Source organism: Homo sapiens, chromosome 5, assembly GCF_000001405.40.
Source record: "Homo sapiens chromosome 5, GRCh38.p14 Primary Assembly".
Taxonomy (NCBI): Eukaryota; Metazoa; Chordata; class Mammalia; order Primates; family Hominidae; genus Homo; species Homo sapiens.
The window spans coordinates 11107357-11124472 of record NC_000005.10 but is presented as its reverse complement, the minus strand read 5'-3'; the positions used below and the strand labels follow the sequence as shown (position 1 = coordinate 11124472).

The 17116-nt window shown below is 43.6% G+C and overlaps 1 protein-coding gene across 12 annotated transcripts in view; it reads left to right on the top strand.

Moving 5' to 3' along the window:
• Positions 1-17116, top strand: part of CTNND2 (catenin delta 2) — a 932611-nt gene that overhangs the window by 779974 nt on the left and 135521 nt on the right. For all 12 annotated transcript variants that reach the window (NR_109988.2, XM_017009074.2, XM_017009072.2 and 9 more), the window contains 2 exons: positions 6906-7023; positions 13430-13615. Coding sequence is in view for 11 of the 12 variants with exons in the window: in XM_017009074.2 (XP_016864563.1) it covers positions 6906-7023; positions 13430-13615 (304 nt within the window). In the remaining variant the exon portion in view is untranslated. The remainder of the gene's footprint in view (positions 1-6905; positions 7024-13429; positions 13616-17116) is intronic.

Below are 17116 nucleotides of genomic sequence, written 5' to 3'. Positions count from 1 at the left end.
AAGCAAAAGCAAGTGTGCTTCGTGGAATCGAGAAAAGTATGATTGGCATAATTTCCCATTCTCACACTTACTCAGATCAGGTAATTTATGATAAATTCAAGCCATCGAGGATGTAAGGATGTTCTCCACAGAAAGGAGCTAATTATAGGCATCAAACTCCAAAGAGCCAATTTTTTGCATTTTTACGTGTAATTAATACTTGATAATCGATTTGGCTGCTAATAATATGGCTCTTTGAAGGGGTAGCTATTAGGTCTGTTCAGTCTCTGCTTAGCCTAAGCAAGAGAGAGCAGGCAGGAGAGGCTGGGAGTTCTGGAGATCTTGTTACTGGGGGTGCCTGTGTTGTTGAATTAAAAGATTGTCATGAGTTAAAAAATTTCCATCAATTTCTGAGCAGGTAATTACATGGTCAAAAAATTAAGATGCTCCATATTTATGTTCTACTTGTGAGATCCCCCCTCACAAGTTTAGTGTTATTTCCCATCATTTGCTGGTTGACTGTTAGAAGCTGATGGCCATTGGTCTAAAGGCCATAACTGGTGTGTGTGGGGGCCATGGTCCCATCCTGTTAGGAAGAGCCTGGGGAGTGTTGTTCAGAGTCTATACATCACATAGCACACGGCAGACAGCCACATGGCTTCATGGCCATTCAAGAAGTACTCTACCTTTCCACATTGAATTTCCTACCGTGGGCTAAGGCCGTGGTTCTCACCTTTGGAATGCGTTCTCATCAGCTGGAGACCAGTGAAACACACTGAGAATGGGGCTAATCGAAGTATAGGGGAAGGGCCTGCGCCTTTGTATTTTAATCAAGCTCCAAAGCTGATTCTGATGCAGCAGAGGAGCATAGGTTTGAGAAGCCACAGGGCTGAACACAGGTTAGGTGCTGGGGAAGCACACATGTAGATTAGATCCTCATGGAGCCCAGCTATCCAGAGCAGACCTCTCAGCCTCGAAACAGTTGGTGTGCCTTGTGGTGGGGGCAGTCCTGAGCATTGTGGGATGGTTAGCAGCAGCCCTGGCTGCCTCTACCCATGAGATGCCTGTAATGTCCCCAACACTCACCCAGCGGTGACAACCAAAAATATTCCCTGGTGGCACAGTCATCCTAGTTAGGAACCACTGGTCTAGAAAGAGTCCTGAAAAGAACCATATGCTCTTTCATCCAGTCGATATCCAGTGAGTTCCTACTGTGTCCTGCACAGTGGGGAGCACAAACAACCAAATAAGATGATGCTCCCCCCTACCTCCTAACGCCTTGTGGGACCAGACTCAAACATCGTGTGTTACAGGTGCTCTAAGAGAAGCTTGTGCCTGGAGCTATGAAGGAAGGAGTAGCGGGGCTGAGGCAAGGCTTAGAAGGTAGAAAAGGCAGTGCTTGGATTGAGCCCTGGCAACTGCGACTGTCAGAGTTGATGGCTTCAAGGTGGAAGGAAGAACATTCCAGGGGGAGGGATCAGTGGGCCTGGGAACCCCAGACAGCCTCTCCTTATCCTTGGTCAAGCGTCCAGAGGCCCTCAGCTCTGCCCTGAGGGGTCGCAGGTATCCCCAGGGTCGGGTCTGGTCTCTGGTCCATGCCATCATCTCTGGTGTCTTCTGCCTCCCCGGCCTGCCTTGCTGGGTTGCATCAAGGCTGTACTAAGTATGTGACTTCATTTTTCGACGGGACGGTGCCTTGGGACTCTCTGTATCACTTAAACCTAGTTCTGTTCTCTAACACCCTCCAGACAGCCCACCCCACTCCTCAAACTAGTATATGGTCTCAGGAACCCAGGCCAGATCCTGCAGAGACCCAGCATCTGGGCTCTGATGGTTATAAATTGGAAGATGAGATGTAGGAGCTCAGGGAGCGCCTGCCCAGGGATGTGAAGGGCTGGGCCACCTGATGGACGGTGATTATAGCAGGGCTGGACCCAGGGCTCAAGGACATGTAAGTAGGCTGGGTATGAGACAACTCCAGTGGAGTCCAGACCCTGAAGGCCAAGGAGAAGGTGAGGGAGAGAGGAGAGGAGGAAACAGACATAGGAAGACAACCTAGCCTTGAGCCAGGCTGTGAAAGCTCTTCCTCCAAGCCTGAGGTTGTAGACGGGTGAGAAACTGGGAAATATCTGACTGGCTCCAGGCCACAAACTTGTGAACAATCATAAGAAAGTTTATATCTTGAACTAATTTTACTTGCGATGCTGTATGCTATCTTCAATTGCATCTTCTATTTTTTTTTTTTTTGCAAGTTGAAACTGCCTCGAATAACTCAAGATGAGGCTTGTAACACAAGGTACAGTTTAAGAAGCCAGTATTCAAATGCTGGAACAAACATCTGATATTTATTCTGTAAGCATAGAGCACAGTCAGTCACAGAGTAAATGTGCCCCTGCTTTCCTGAATTCCAATCCGATGGAAGGGCTGAATTCTCAATAAGAGCCAACTATGTGTCACACACTCAGCTGAATGCTAGGTATAAACATGAGAATGACACGCTTTCTACTCTCCAGAAAGTCCCAGTGCAGTAATAAGGTCACAGCCTAAATAATACCAATACAAAATAAATGATGATCAGTAAAGGAGGTTCAAAGAGCTAAGAGTGTGTGAAGGGAGAGGCTAATTACAAATACATTGATTACCCAATATCTCATTCCTTGGTTTTCCCTGTGGTTTGATCTTCAGTATCCTGGCCATCTGAAGCAGAGACACATCTTTCATGGAAAATGCCGTAGTCATACAGGTGAACATATGGTCTGAGTTCCACGTTGGGTCCTAGGAGAGCACTGAGTGATGGAGATTCAAAGAAATGAGATTTCAAGCAGCACAGAAGACAGGGGAAAGGAAGCAGTTTAGTTGCATTAAAATAAAAAATAGATTGGTCTTTTAATTTGGAAGACATAAAAATGAATTGTTTCATTTTTTATCTATTAGATAAAAAGATTATAGAATCCACTTTTAGCAGGAACTTCCCAATGACATAGCAACTGACAATTCAGTCACGATTGTAAAGGTTACTAATAAGGATGAGATATTATGCACATTTTTGTGCTTCTAACAAATAATCTACAGGTATTTAATACTATGTTTATGCATAGAATTTTTCCATACCCATTTCTAACCAGACATAGAAGTCACCTTCCTCATGATGGGCAGAAGATGGTTTAAGTACAATGGGAGGGAGGAACTTTCTAGATTGAACATTGATTAATTGTCAAACACTAAGGACCATGATTACAACTAACCATTTAGTGAGCATCGCGGAAGGTTATCAGGGTGTTTATTTTTAAACAGTGAAACATCTTGTTAAGTTTCATAGTAAAGGTGTTGAGACAAAAATTTGAGCTGTGTTCAAGTCGTGATGCTTATAGCTGTATCATGTACTAACAAGCTTATGCTATTTCAATCATAAGCTGACATGACTTCACCTTAACATGTTGATCAAAAGTCTTAACCAACAACAATAAAAAGCTGAAATTTGTGGTTGAAAGAGTAGAACTTGTGTCTGTGGGGAAGACGGAGGAACAGGAAACCCTCCTTACCACCAATGTGAAAATCAAATATTCTCTTAAGATATGTTTCATGCACTGAGGCATAGTTGATTAAAAGTGGAAACCCAAGCCCAGAGGCCTATAGGAAATCATTGCCCATTGAAAAGAGACAGTTTATATAAAAATGTATACTGAGCCTCATCATGCCTGCGGACAGTATGATAACGCCCTCTTCAAGTCTGTATGTATACTGAGCCTCATCATGCCTGCAGACAGTATGATAACCACCTCTTGAAGTCTGTATGTATACTGAGCCTCATGTTGCCTGCAGACAGTATAATAACCCCCTCTTGAAGTCTATATGTAAACTGAGCCTCATCACCCCTGCAGACAGCATGATAACCCCCTCTTGAAGTCTATGTGTATACTGAGCCTCATCACCCCTGCGGACAGTATGATAACCCCCTCTTGAAGTCTATATGTATACTGAGCCTCATTACCCCTGCGGACAGCATGATAACCCCCTCTTGAAGTCTATATGTATACTGAGCCTCATCACCCCTGCAGACAGTATGATAACCCCCTCTTGAAGTCCGTATGTATACTGAGCCTCACCATGCCTGCAGACAGTATAATAACCCCCTCTTGAAGTCTATATGTATACTGAGCCTCATCACCCCTTCAGACAGTATGATAACCCCCTCTTGAAGTCTATATGTATACTGAGCCTCATCACCCCTGCAGACAGCATGATAACCCCCTCTTGAAGTCTATATCATAGGTGCTGTGTGGGTGTAGGCGTATCTCAGTCACTCCCCTTCTCTGCTGAGACCTTAAGTTATTAATCTTTCTCATTTTTCAATATCTTACACATTGTAATATAGTAGCCAATTAATAACTTTTTAAATTTTGGAGGAGACTGGACTAGAATGGAATAGAAACTAGAATAAAGAAAAACGCTAAGATTAGTATTGACAACTTCTGATGTTAAGTTGTTCATTTTGATTATTTCCTATTGGTTGGTCCTGCGCATTTAATGATTACCAGTGAAATTAGGGCTGATTATTAGGAAGTTTATTGGTGAATTGGGAGGCAGCCTGCCTCCAAAAAAAGGATACTCGAAGGAAAGACTGAGCACATTAGTCAAAGAAGAGCTGCAGAGGGTTTTTTTCAGATCAGGGTGTACACACGCTACCCTAAGTTGCTTTCCAGCCTGAATTTCATTAATTCTATTTGGAAATGCTAACTTGCCACGCTAAAGAGCGAAACATAATCACACATTGCCATGCAAAGTTCTTCTGGCCAAAGAGGTCTGATTCAGAATCTTTGACAAACTTATTATTTTAACAGCTTCACAGCTCAACCTGGTGAAAATCATTTCAAGAAGGAATGATCTAAAATGCTCCTTTAAAAGGGCCATTCTTTTAGTTTAAAATAATATCCAAATGCCTGTCACCACCTTTTCCCTAGCAGAAAGTTAGTTCCTCTCTGGCCACCACCACGGATTGTGTCAGAAACAAAGGTTGGCCATCACAGGATGGAATTTATAAAATTTTACATAAAAATGCTGTCAGTATTTGCCTAGTTATATTATCTAGGAAGCTGAGAAATTTTGTTTATATTCGAAGATCAGCAAATGCCAAAAATACTAATTTGAATTGTATAACCTTTCCCAGTGTTACACAAAAATGCTGCTGATAGAGCCTATCTTAACACGTCTGTGGAACTTTTTAGGTATCAAAAAACTCTTCATGTTCAGTAGCATTTTAACATGAAACCTGTTTTATTTTATTTTAATTCTTAAAAAATCATATTCTGCATTCATATTTGACAACAGGCCTGAAGCCCTTTCTTTCCCATCTTCACAGGTTTTGTTCCAGCTCCTCCTCAGCTGAATGCTAGGTAGAGACGTAAGACTGACATGCCTTCTACCCTCCAGAAAGTCTCGGTGCAGTAATGAGGTCACAGCCAAATAATTCCAATACAAAATCAATGGTGATCAGTAAAGGAGGTTCAAAGAGCCAAGAGAGTGTGAAGGGGGAGGCTAATTGCAAATAGATTGATTCCTCAAAATCTCATTCCTTGGTCCTCTCTGGGTTTGATCTCCAGTATCTTGGCCATCTGAAGCAGAGACACACTTACTGTGTGGCCTTGGACAACCTCTGAGGCTCGGTTTTATCATCTGTAAAACAGAATTTATTACAACAGCAAAAGATGTTGTGAATATGAAATGAGACTACCTGGGTCAATTATAGCGGGCTGGAGATTCATTTCATTCAACTTCTCCAGACTCCGTCCAGGCTTACTGATCCTTGGGATCTGCCTCATGGCTGCCCCAGCACTCAGCAAAGAACACCACCCTCCTCCCAGCCAGACCCTCCCTAGAGAGCTGGGGTCTGAGTTCTCAACATCAGCATCACCAAGGATATGCAAGTTATCTGACTCTACCCCAGACATTCTGAGTCAGAGACTCCAGCATGGAGCCAGCAGTCTGTACTGCACACACCTCCAGAGGATTCCGATGCTCCCAAAGTTTGAGAATCGTCCTTCTTTTTCTACCACTGTTCCCAAGGTCCTTAAATTCTTTCAATCCCTTTGTACCACCCACTAAGTCATCTCCTGCAGCCTCCCTTTTACAGGTTGTGTTGTCTGTAGTAAGTCATTGCAGAAATTCTCTACTGGAACCATATGCTAACTGTGGGTAGGAGAAGAACAACATATGCTCAGGTGGTAGAGTAACTAAAAGCACCCCAAGATTTTCCTTCGGATTATCTCTGTCTCTTGTAGGACTAGAAGATCTCTCTGCTTCGTAGCCACACATTTCATTACAGTAGACCCCATCTGTTGCCATTAGCTCAGCATGTGCTAGTACAGAAAAGAGCTTGGAGCAGCCCCTTCTCATAAGAGGTATCATGCACATCCCAATGACTAAATTGTCACAGAAACCTCTAACTATGTCCTTAGAATGAAGTCCTAGAAGTCTACTTCTGGCTGGGCCAAGGTAGGTATCTTTTGTGGCAGACAAATTTAGATGTCTAAAATATTTCAGAAGTTACAAGTTCTGTCTTTGAAAGTGTTTCGGACCTCTCAAAGAGGAATCCTTTGAATCAAAAAGCTTCTGATTGTACATGGAGTAAACCTAGAAGACTTTCTGAAGGTCCCCCACCCTCCACGGTCATGGGACTCACAGATCCCGTATTAGGAGTTCTTCATTGTCTATTCCAGGAGTTGCATTACAGACATCTGTGACTTACCCAACTCTGGGATGTGTTTTGTGGAAGCCATCCCTTTTCATTAAAGATATATTCTTGATAAGCATTCTGAAAAAGTGGGGAAAAATGCATTTACTTTCAAACTATGAGAGCAGCTGGGCATGGAAAGACATTCTTTTGGTGACAACCGTGAAGATCGCTGACGTGTCCTTTTGCTTTGCAGGAATGTTAGTTCGGCCGGAGAGGAGGCCCGCAGAAGGATGAGAGAGTGTGATGGGCTTACGGATGCCTTGCTGTACGTGATCCAGTCTGCGCTGGGGAGCAGTGAGATCGATAGCAAGGTTGGTTGTGCTGGCATAGATTAAACATGTTTGAGAATAAAGACTCCCACGGGACTCAACAATAGCTAACAACCCTGGAGAGCCAATGCAGTATTTCAGACTTTCCTTCTGAACTCTCTCCTGGTTTCCTTATAAGAATCCAACACTTTTAGACTGGGCTTCTAATTCTAGCATGGATCTAGATATATAACCTAACTTCTGATTAGCTGTGAGTAAATATGCAGATTGTTCTAAGTTACTCAAACCACAGGTGTTCCAGTTGAGTGTATAAACTTGAATACCACGTTGCTCACAAGCTTCTAGTTTTTTTTTTTTAATGTAATCCACTTTCAACAGAAAAGACAAGATGTTAAAACTACCTGCTTTTTTTTTTTATTTTTTGAGACAGAGTCTCGCTCTGTCACCCAGGCTCTGTCACCCAGGAGTGCAGTGGTGCAATGAAGGCTCACTGCAACCTCCACCTCCTGGGATCAAGTGATTCTCCTGCTTCAGCCTCCTGAGTAGCTAAGATTACAGGCGTGCACCACCACACCCGGCTATTTTTTTGTATTTTTAGTAGAGATCGGGTTTTACCACATTGGCCAGGCTGGTCTCAAACACCTGACCTCAAGTGATCCGCCCACCTCAGACTCCCAAAGTGCTGGGATTACAGGCATGAGCCACCACACCCAGATTTGCGATTTGAATAATCCCATATTCTTATAAACTTGCTTTTTAACAACTGTTGATTACACTAAGTGCCATTTTAAAAGGCCTGCAAGATCTAAATAAATGTCACAATGCTAAATAAATGGGGCTTCCCAACAAAATAAATCAGCAAAGTCTATTCAGTGTCTTAGTTCACAAGCCAGAATAGAATTGGGTGGGCTTTTCCAGTGTTTGAGCTATTTTATTTAGTCTTAAATAAGTTTGATTCATTCATATGTTTGTAATTTCATAATATCCTGTTATAAACACAAACTTTACCAATAGTCATAAAGTAATGCAGGTAATAAATGTGATTTCTTAATAAGGATTTCTCAAGAGCCACCCTTATTGACATTTTGGGGTGAATTATTCTTTGTCATGTGACTGTCTTGTGCATTGCAGGATGCTTAGCAACCTCCCTGGCTTCCGCCCACTGGATACCAGTAGCAGCCCCCATCCCCACCCCAGTAACAAACAACAGTGTCTCCAGACATTGCCACATGTCCTGCAGGGAGCAAAATTGGCCCTGGTTATGAACCGTGACCTTAATCCTATGGTTTTCATTCTGACTCTTTATTAGAATTGCCTTTGGAGTGTTCATGTAAATACATCTGCACAGACCCTATTGCAGTCCTCCTAACCCAACTGTCTAACTCTGGTCACAAGTTTGTGTACCTTTAAAAGTTCATCAGGTAATTTGATGTACATCTTAGATTAAGAACCTGCCATAGTAGATAGAGCTTTAATATGACTCTCTAATTGGGAATCTGGTAAAATGTAATTTAGTTACAAAGTTAGATAAAGAACAAATAAAAGTGTTTCTATCCATGTAGTCATTAATTGGCTGTGTGTATAAGTTAGCATAGCACTTCTCAACCCTGACTACATATTAGGGTTACCAAGAAATTTAGAAAATCACTGATGCCTGAGCCTTACTCCCCAGAGATCTGAATGCAAGGTACCTCTGGGACGTCAGCCCTTTGAGTACTAGTTCACCCCAATTATGAGCACCACTTGTCATCTTTTAACTTCTGCTCAGTTAGGTTCACATCCATTCACTGACTGTGTGTTTTTAGTTTCAAAGATGAACATAATGTAACAAAGAGTAAGCATTCCCCTTTCACAGAAGGCCTTAAGTGACCATTTTAGACCATTTAGTATCATCGACAGGAAAATTAAATTCCTAAACAAGTGACCAGTCAAGATGTCTTGAATATTTACAAGTGCTTGTTAGCGTAATAGACACGTGTGTTTTCAAAGGGCTCCTGAAGGTAAATCACTGAAGCGGCAATGCTCAGCATCGTCATATTCAGAGTGGTGAGTGAGGCACTGGGAGACTATACCTTTTACTGTGATGGCTACGAAAAGAGCTTTGATACTAGCTGGACCTTACAGCTGAAAATAAAATAAGAGTCAACAGCCTCATGCTTTGGCTAAGTGCAGCCACCAGCACCAAAGATTAAGGCATCTTTCAGGAGCCATGGTTCAAGAACCAACATGGCACAAACATCTTCTTTCTGTCAGATGACCAGATTCCTAAAACCTGGGAGACTTGGTAGATCATCTTTTCTAATGTCCACATTTTCCCCAAAAGAGGAAGTTGAAATAATTGGGAGTATTCAGGGCTGGAGTCAGAAAACCCAGATATCCCTGGTGGAGTAAGAAGAGCCCTGAGCTGGCATCAAGACAGTGCCAGTGGACTGTGCCATCTCCACCTCCCACTGGCTGGAGCACCATATCCAACTGACCTCAACTCTGTGACAAGGAGCATAATCATAGCTGAATGCCAAGGCTGTTGAAAGGATCAGATGTGATGTTACTCAGCAGGTGCTTCACTGGCTGGATTGTGCTATTGGGTTTTAATGTATTATTATTGTACCATCATTTTCCACTCAGCCCTCTGCTTGGCCGCTTTTGAGCTTTCACAATGACAAATTGAGGGTGAGGGGTTTGAATGAGTACACCTTCTTTTTAAGGCCTGAGAAGTTAATACATAAAAGAGCGTGGATTCCATACAAGCTTGTGACTCTGGTCCTATAATTGGGCCAGTGTGTTGACTGGATAACATATAGTGGAGCACTCTACAACTTCCAGATTAACCCTTTCTAATAGAAAATAAGGAATCAAAATGACCCTGGTAACCAAAAGCAACTGCTGAAAGCACTGCTGACAGCAATGGATGTCCCAAGCAAAGCTACCGGCTGCCACCCTCCTGCTAGGATCCCAAGTCTTTTGTCTTCTCTTTCTCCTTATCCCCTTAGAGAAAAGCTCTTGAATTAAGTAACTCTCCCAAACCAACCCAGACTGCAGAACTCCTGGAGGCTTAAATGACAGATAAATGTGGTCCCTGTGATCTTCTTTCCCCCATTCCTCCCTCCCCATCCGCCCCCATCCCTACTTTCTCTTCTTCTTCTAGCTTCTTCCCAAATCATCTCCCCAGCTGCAGCTCGATTATAAAGCATTTTTCCCAACTGCAGATTTATTCCCCAGGAGTCATTTGTTAAACAGAGGAACAGTGATGCCTCCAGGGAAGACGAACAGTGGGATGAGAAAGAAGTTTATTCTCCCAAGTCTTTGATGTAAGAAAAATAAGTTTGAGCTGATTTAAAGATCATTCTGACTTATGCCATAACATTTTCCTTTCAATGAGAGTCGTTTCTCTCTTTCATGCATCGCCCTGAGTTTACCTGCTTTCGTGCCAGTCCACTTTTTGATGCAGAGGATGCTTGGAATAGAAAATCAGGTTGACTCAGAGCCTGTGGGATTAGCAGCCCATGACACCTTGAAAAGCTGACAAGAAAGGTCTGGAATGACAAAGGCTCCAGAGATATTTCCTGAAAACTGGTTTTCCTCGTAAGTTTTCATGCCCTCGGTAATAAGTACAGGGCACCTGCTACCTTTCACCAGATTCCAGCCAGTGGAGGGAAGCAGTGCAGGATTGTGATCCCAGCAGCCCCTGCCCATTCCAGTCCCACCCCAGGACTGCAGAGAAGCAGCTCAGTCTGGTGGGAGGTACTCACAGCTTTAGCTGTCCTCCTTTCACCCATACAATGGAATTGTATTATGTGCCATCACAGTGGCTGTTACGTAGCAGGTGCCTGAAAAAATGATAGCCAGCTTGGTAAGATTCTTCAAATAAAACTTGGCTCAGTTTATTTTTTTTTCCATCATTGTTTCACCCCTTCTAAAATTGGATATTTTTCTCCGCTTTCCATGGTTCCTGTAGTCAAAAGGTCAGCTTTGTCTTAACCAGCAAACGTTTTCTGCAAAAGGTCAGAGAATAAATATTCCCGGTGTTGCGGGCCATACTGTCTCAGTCACAGCCATGTAATTCTGCATTGTACCATGAAAGCAGCTACAGACCATTCATAAACAAATGGGCCTGGGTGTCCTCCAGGAAAACACCAATTATGCACAACCGGCTGTGGGCTGGATCGGACCCCTGGGCGGCAGTTTGCTCACCCCTCTTCTCAACAATCAGAAGTTATTACAACTAGTATTTTAGCAAATAGTTTTGAGCAGACACTATTCAAAGAGCTGTATCTGTGAGCTTATTAACCCTCACTGTGGCTCTGTACATGATACTGGTGTTTTTTTTGCTTGTTTTTTTGTTTTTCTTTTTGAGATGGAGTCTCACTGTGTTGCCCAGGCTGGAGTGCAGTGGCGCAATCTTGGCTCACTGCAAGCTCCGCTTTCCGGGTTCACACCATTCTCCTGCCTTAGCCTCCTGAGTAGCTGGGACTACAGGTGCCCGCCACCATGCTTGGCTAATTTTTGAATTTTTAGTAGAGACGGGGTTTCACCTTGTTAGCCAGGATGATCTCAATCTCCTGACCTCATGATCCACCCACCTCGGCCTCCCAAAGTGCTGGGATTACAGGCATGAGCCACCGCGCCCAGCCTGTACATGATACTGTTAATATGACCCTCCCTTTACAAATGAGGAAATAGAAGTACAGAAAGATTAAGCACTTTGCCCAAGGCCCCACAGCTTGTGAAATGGTAGGCCCAGGATTGGAAGCCAAGCCGGCTAGCCCTAGATCCCATCCTCTGGAGCTCCGCACTGTGCCATCTCCTGCCACTGTTAATGATATGAACATTTGAAGAGCATTTACTGTGCCCCAGCTTTCTTCCCAGTACTTGCACGCTGTGTTACTTTCCTGTTGCTGTCATAACCAATGACCACAAACTTGGTGGCTGAACCCAACACACATTTATGATCTTATAGCTCTAGAGACCAGCAGTCTGAAGTGGGTCTCACTGGGATAAAATTAAAATGTGGTAAGGTCTGAGGCTTACCTTCTTGAGGCTCTTGGGGAGAATTTGTTCCCTTCCCTATTCCAGCATCTAGACCCTGCCCACATACCTCGGCTTGTGGCCCCTTCCACCATCTTCAGATCCGGCCATGGTCAGCCATGTCCTTCTCACATCACATCACTGTGACTCTCCTGACTTCCTCTTTGACGTACAGGCCCCTTGTGAGGACACAGGCCCACCCGAACAATCCAGATAACCTCCCCATCTGACAAGCAGCTGATTAGCTTAACAATTCCCACCTCCTGCCAGCCACGTGACCTAACATACGCGCAGGTTCCAGAGATTAAGATGTAGACCTGCTGGGTGCGGTGGCTCACGACTGTAATCCCAGCACTTTGGGAGGCCTAAGCAAGTGGATCACAAAGTCAGGAGATCGAGACCATCCTGGCTAACACAGTGAAACCCCATCTCTACTAAAAATACAAAAAAAAATTAGCTGGGCGTAGTGGCGGGTGCCTGTAGTCCCAGCTACTTGGGAGGCTGAGGCAGGAGAATGGTCTGAACCTGGGAGGCGGAGCTTGCAGTGAGCCGAGATCGCGCCACTGCACTCCAGCCTGGGCGACAAAGCGAGACTCCGTCTCAAAAAAAAAAAAAAAATGTAGACCTTCTGGGAGGGCCATTATTCTGCGTACCACACACATGTTTTAGCTCAACTAATGCACAAGAACCTAAGATGTGGGACCTGTTATGACCATTTTACAGAGGGGTACACCATGTCCCAGAGATGTCAAGTGCATTGTCCAAAGTCCCACAGCTAAATCGGACACCTAGGGTTCTACAGGTGTCTGGCTCCACAACATGTGTCCTTAACCACTGTTTAACCTTTTGGCTAAGAAAACATGAGTGTCAGGCATCTCAAAAAAATGTAGACTAAAAATATTTATGCACCCCAGGTGATCACAGCCCCTCACTTTCCTGGGACAACCCTGGTTTGCACCTGTAGCCTCCTTGACACTCGGAAAATGCTCCGGTGGGCAGTAAATATGCCCCCCACCAGAGCTGACCGAAATTCTAAGTCTTTGATTCCTCATTACCCGATCCCCAATCCCCAGCCAGGGAGTCAGAGGTGGGGCGCTGTCTGTTAGTGGATGATATTTGGGATCTCTCGTGGTTGTACATTCTTCCCTTCTCACAAGTGAATTTCAATCAACAATAACAGATGTTTATAGAAGTAACTATTGCTGATAAGTCATTTATTTGTGGGGGATAAAAGGTCCTAAGACCTTTCTAAGTTTCTCCAATTGTTTTCCACTGTGGCCATCAGGGGAGCTTTCAGAAGCTGGCAGCTAAACACTTCCAAAGAGAAATGTGTCCATGGAGAAAGAGGCCTTTCCAGGTGGAAGAATGGAGTGCTGAGTGCTAGTTTTACTCATTCTTTCCTCTGTTTCCCCCTTTTCTGCAGACCGTTGAAAACTGTGTGTGCATTTTAAGGAACCTCTCGTACCGGCTGGCGGCAGAAACGTCTCAGGGACAGCACATGGGCACGGACGAGCTGGACGGGCTACTCTGTGGCGAGGCCAATGGCAAGGATGCTGAGAGCTCTGGGTGCTGGGGCAAGAAGAAGAAGAAAAAGAAATCCCAAGATCAGGTGATGCAGGCTGCTTGCAGCTGCATGCAATTATCCCCTTCCTAATTGCAACTGTAATATATCCTCAATATATAGAGAATGAGCCCTGCATTTTCATCAGGAGGTAAAATCACTAATGCATCTGCACAATTTTCCTGTGGGAATTTCACAGCTGAGACGGTGGGACATGAAATGATTTCCCTCACGTCTCGCAGTTGAGCCAGGATAGGAAATTACTTAAAAAAGAAAAAAAGACACCTGAGGCCCTAGCAAGCTCTGACATTCCACCTCTGAGCAGGCGCTGTGTTAATTCACACATTTACTTAGGGCATTGTCGGAGCTGGATTTGATGCCATCCAGGTGACAGGGATGGGTGGAACAGGAGATGTGGTATAAGAAGGGAAACAGAGAGAGACAGAGGGAGGCCAAAGATCCATCATGTATTTAATCGCTGGTTTCGAAGCATTTAGATTTTCAGTCTCACACTTTCCATTGGAAATGGGGTAACAGAGAATTCACAGCCCTTCCACAGGATGGCATTAGAAGCTTGGCCGTGGGGAACAATTCAGGTGAATTCAGAACAATGTTGAGCTGGAGCTGGAGGCCTCTTGAGAACAGAATGGCCCTCACCTGCTGCAGCGGGAAGTAGGTTCCCCTGCAGCAAAACGAAGGCCGCTAGGCAGCAACTCACAACCCTGATGCATCAGAACAGTCTCTGCTCCTGTCTTGGGGAGCCCATGAGAGACCAAACCCCTCACCACAGGCCCCACCAGGACAGGGAGCGATGGGAGGACAAAGCATCCCCACCTTTGCTAACACTGGAACAGCGGTTAACTTCAGGGCCTGGAAACTGATTTATCTCATCAAGGAGCTTACAGAGAGTTTCACAAGTAAAGTGAAAAAAAGCAATATAAAAACAGGTGCGTACATAGATATAGGTATAGATGATACAGATACAATCTGGCCAGTTTTGTATAATATGTCATATGCAAATACAAAATGCTATTTGCCTGTACAAAATATATGTGTTTCTTGAAAAAGCAGAGTAAGATCCAAGAGAAGATAATGATTGATTCCTTTTGTACTTCTGTATTTATAAATCTTCTACAATGAAAATTACATTTGTAATCTTTGCAAATGGCCTTTAAAAAATAATGTTCATAAAGGCACTAAGTTAATGTATGCTTATAAAAGTGTATGGTTTTTTTCAGAGAAATTTATACCTCACTGAAAGGTGTAAGACATTATGTAAAATGAAAGGTTATCTAGTCTACAACACAGACCTTCCAGGACAGAGGAGCCAAATATTATAACAGGAGTAAAAGTGATACAAATAATAATTGGTTTAATGATGGCCTCTAGAACTTTTTCTAGTCCAGAAATTTATGTTGACCCTTACCTTTGGCATTGGTGTTCTTGACCTTAAAAAGACACTATAATATTCTGCATGTCAAATTTAGCTATAAGAAAAATCTCAGAAACTTTAAAAAAAAATCCCTGTAGGGATAATTCTAGAAAATATATGATACAAAAATATGATGCATGCATGCTGTTAGTTCAAGAAATGGTTGCTATTGAACCATACTAGAAGTATCAGACTTCTAGGCCATTCTAGTCTAGAAGCACCAGACTACGAGCTCCTGTGTGCAGAAGTGTTTGACACTCTATGCATCACTTTCTGGTCTAAGAGGTCCTTGCAAACTCATCCATTTTTGCATCTGCTGTGTGCCTGTTGCTGAGTTCTAAGGAATTGCTAGTTTCTCTAGTCCGTTTTGGACAAAACCTCCCATGAAACAGTCAGCATGTCATCTGCCAAGAAGGCGCGTCTCCCCCAGAAGGACCCTCTCTGCCCTCAGCAGGGCTTTATGACAGCAGACTGTCACTGCATGGTTGGTGGAGGGAATCCGAAGATTGGGGTCCAGGGAAATAGGAGGAGACAAAATGGATTCATTTACTTTTTGCACCTTTTGTAGCAATCAGCATTTTTTGGTTTGTTTTCACCTTGGTCTATGGCCAACGATCCTGTGATGGTGTCCTGAGGTGGGTACTGTTTCAGCGTGGTTTGGAGGTGACGGGACATTGTCCTCCACCAGCTGCTGGTCAGGTCAGACCTTCTTCAAGGCGCTGTTGGTGTGAGATTGACCATGGGCAGAGGGCCACTGAGAAAAACAAAAACTAAATAAGCAGGACCTGATGGAATCCAAAACCTCCCTTTTTAGCTTATAAATCAATTTAAAGTTATTTAATTTAAATGGGTAAAAAATATATGTCTGTCTGCATGGGTGAGGAGACAAACCTATCAATTCAAACAGGATTCTGATCCACTATTTTTATCTGGTAGGTCTTCTTTCATGATCATCTTTGTTTCACAACTGAGTGCACTGTAGTCAATTTAACAGTAAATATTTTTGCTCTTTTTCACCTCTTTGTTAAGTTGTAGATGCCAAATGCATAAATGACTGGAAGATTCACCTGTGATATACACGGTGCTGTTTTATGCATAAAAGCAGTAGGAATGGGCCTCTGTGTAAAACTTCAATGCCCCCTTATTTTTCCCACAATGAAAGAGATGTCTTGGAAGAACTTTCAAGGCTTCTTGCCCGCACTCTTTCCTGGCCTGTCTTAGGATCCCGCAGACCAGCCTCTACGCTTCTGTTCATGCTGTTCCACTGCCTGGCCCTCCCTTTCCCCACTCACTACTTGGAGAATAATCATTCAAGAGCAAATAAAACATCCCCTCTATCTTTCCAAGACTTCTTTCAAGTAAACAATTACTCCCTAATCTACTTCTCCATAATTTTATTTAAACTTCTCTGCTAGTTATTATCATATTATGGGTTAAGTATAGCAATTGATCCCCAAAGAGAGCGAATTTTCTGGGGCAAAGGACTCTGTGGGTCTTATTTCGGTCTGTGACTTCTAGCCCAATGCCTGGCCCCAATTACACTGTGGCCTATGGTGGCCCCTAGCTCTTGCTGTGGGTTTAATTGTGGGTGGATGCTCATAGCTGTGACTTTTCCCAGACTCATCTGTTTCTTTCCTGGTGAGACTTTGCCCCAAGGGCTGCTGTGAGCCAAGCGTCTTCCGCAGTCTTCCCTCCCTGTGTTTTGAGCTGTTCCCCAGCCTCTCATGACAGTGCTGCATTTATCTCACTGTTAGTCAGTATTCTGAATCTGCAATCACCACCAAAACAAATGCACCATCTAAATTACTGTTATCATCTAAGAACTTAAGTTTATATGCAACAAAGGTATATGTGTATGTGTCAAAAAGTATCCCTGGAGAAGCAGGACTTTTGATCCTGCCAGACTAAACAAATTCTTTGCACTGAAGGTGTTATGAGAAATCATGAAATCCCACCACCTACAAGGTTTTCTTGGATTTTCAGGATATCGGTATTGGCCACCACTTCTTCAAGAGCCTCACACGTTGCCTGCTATGTCATTCGGATGCTCTTGACCCAAAAGTGAGACTCTAGGGCTAAATAAACAGCATGCATATCCCAAAGCACAAACATGAATT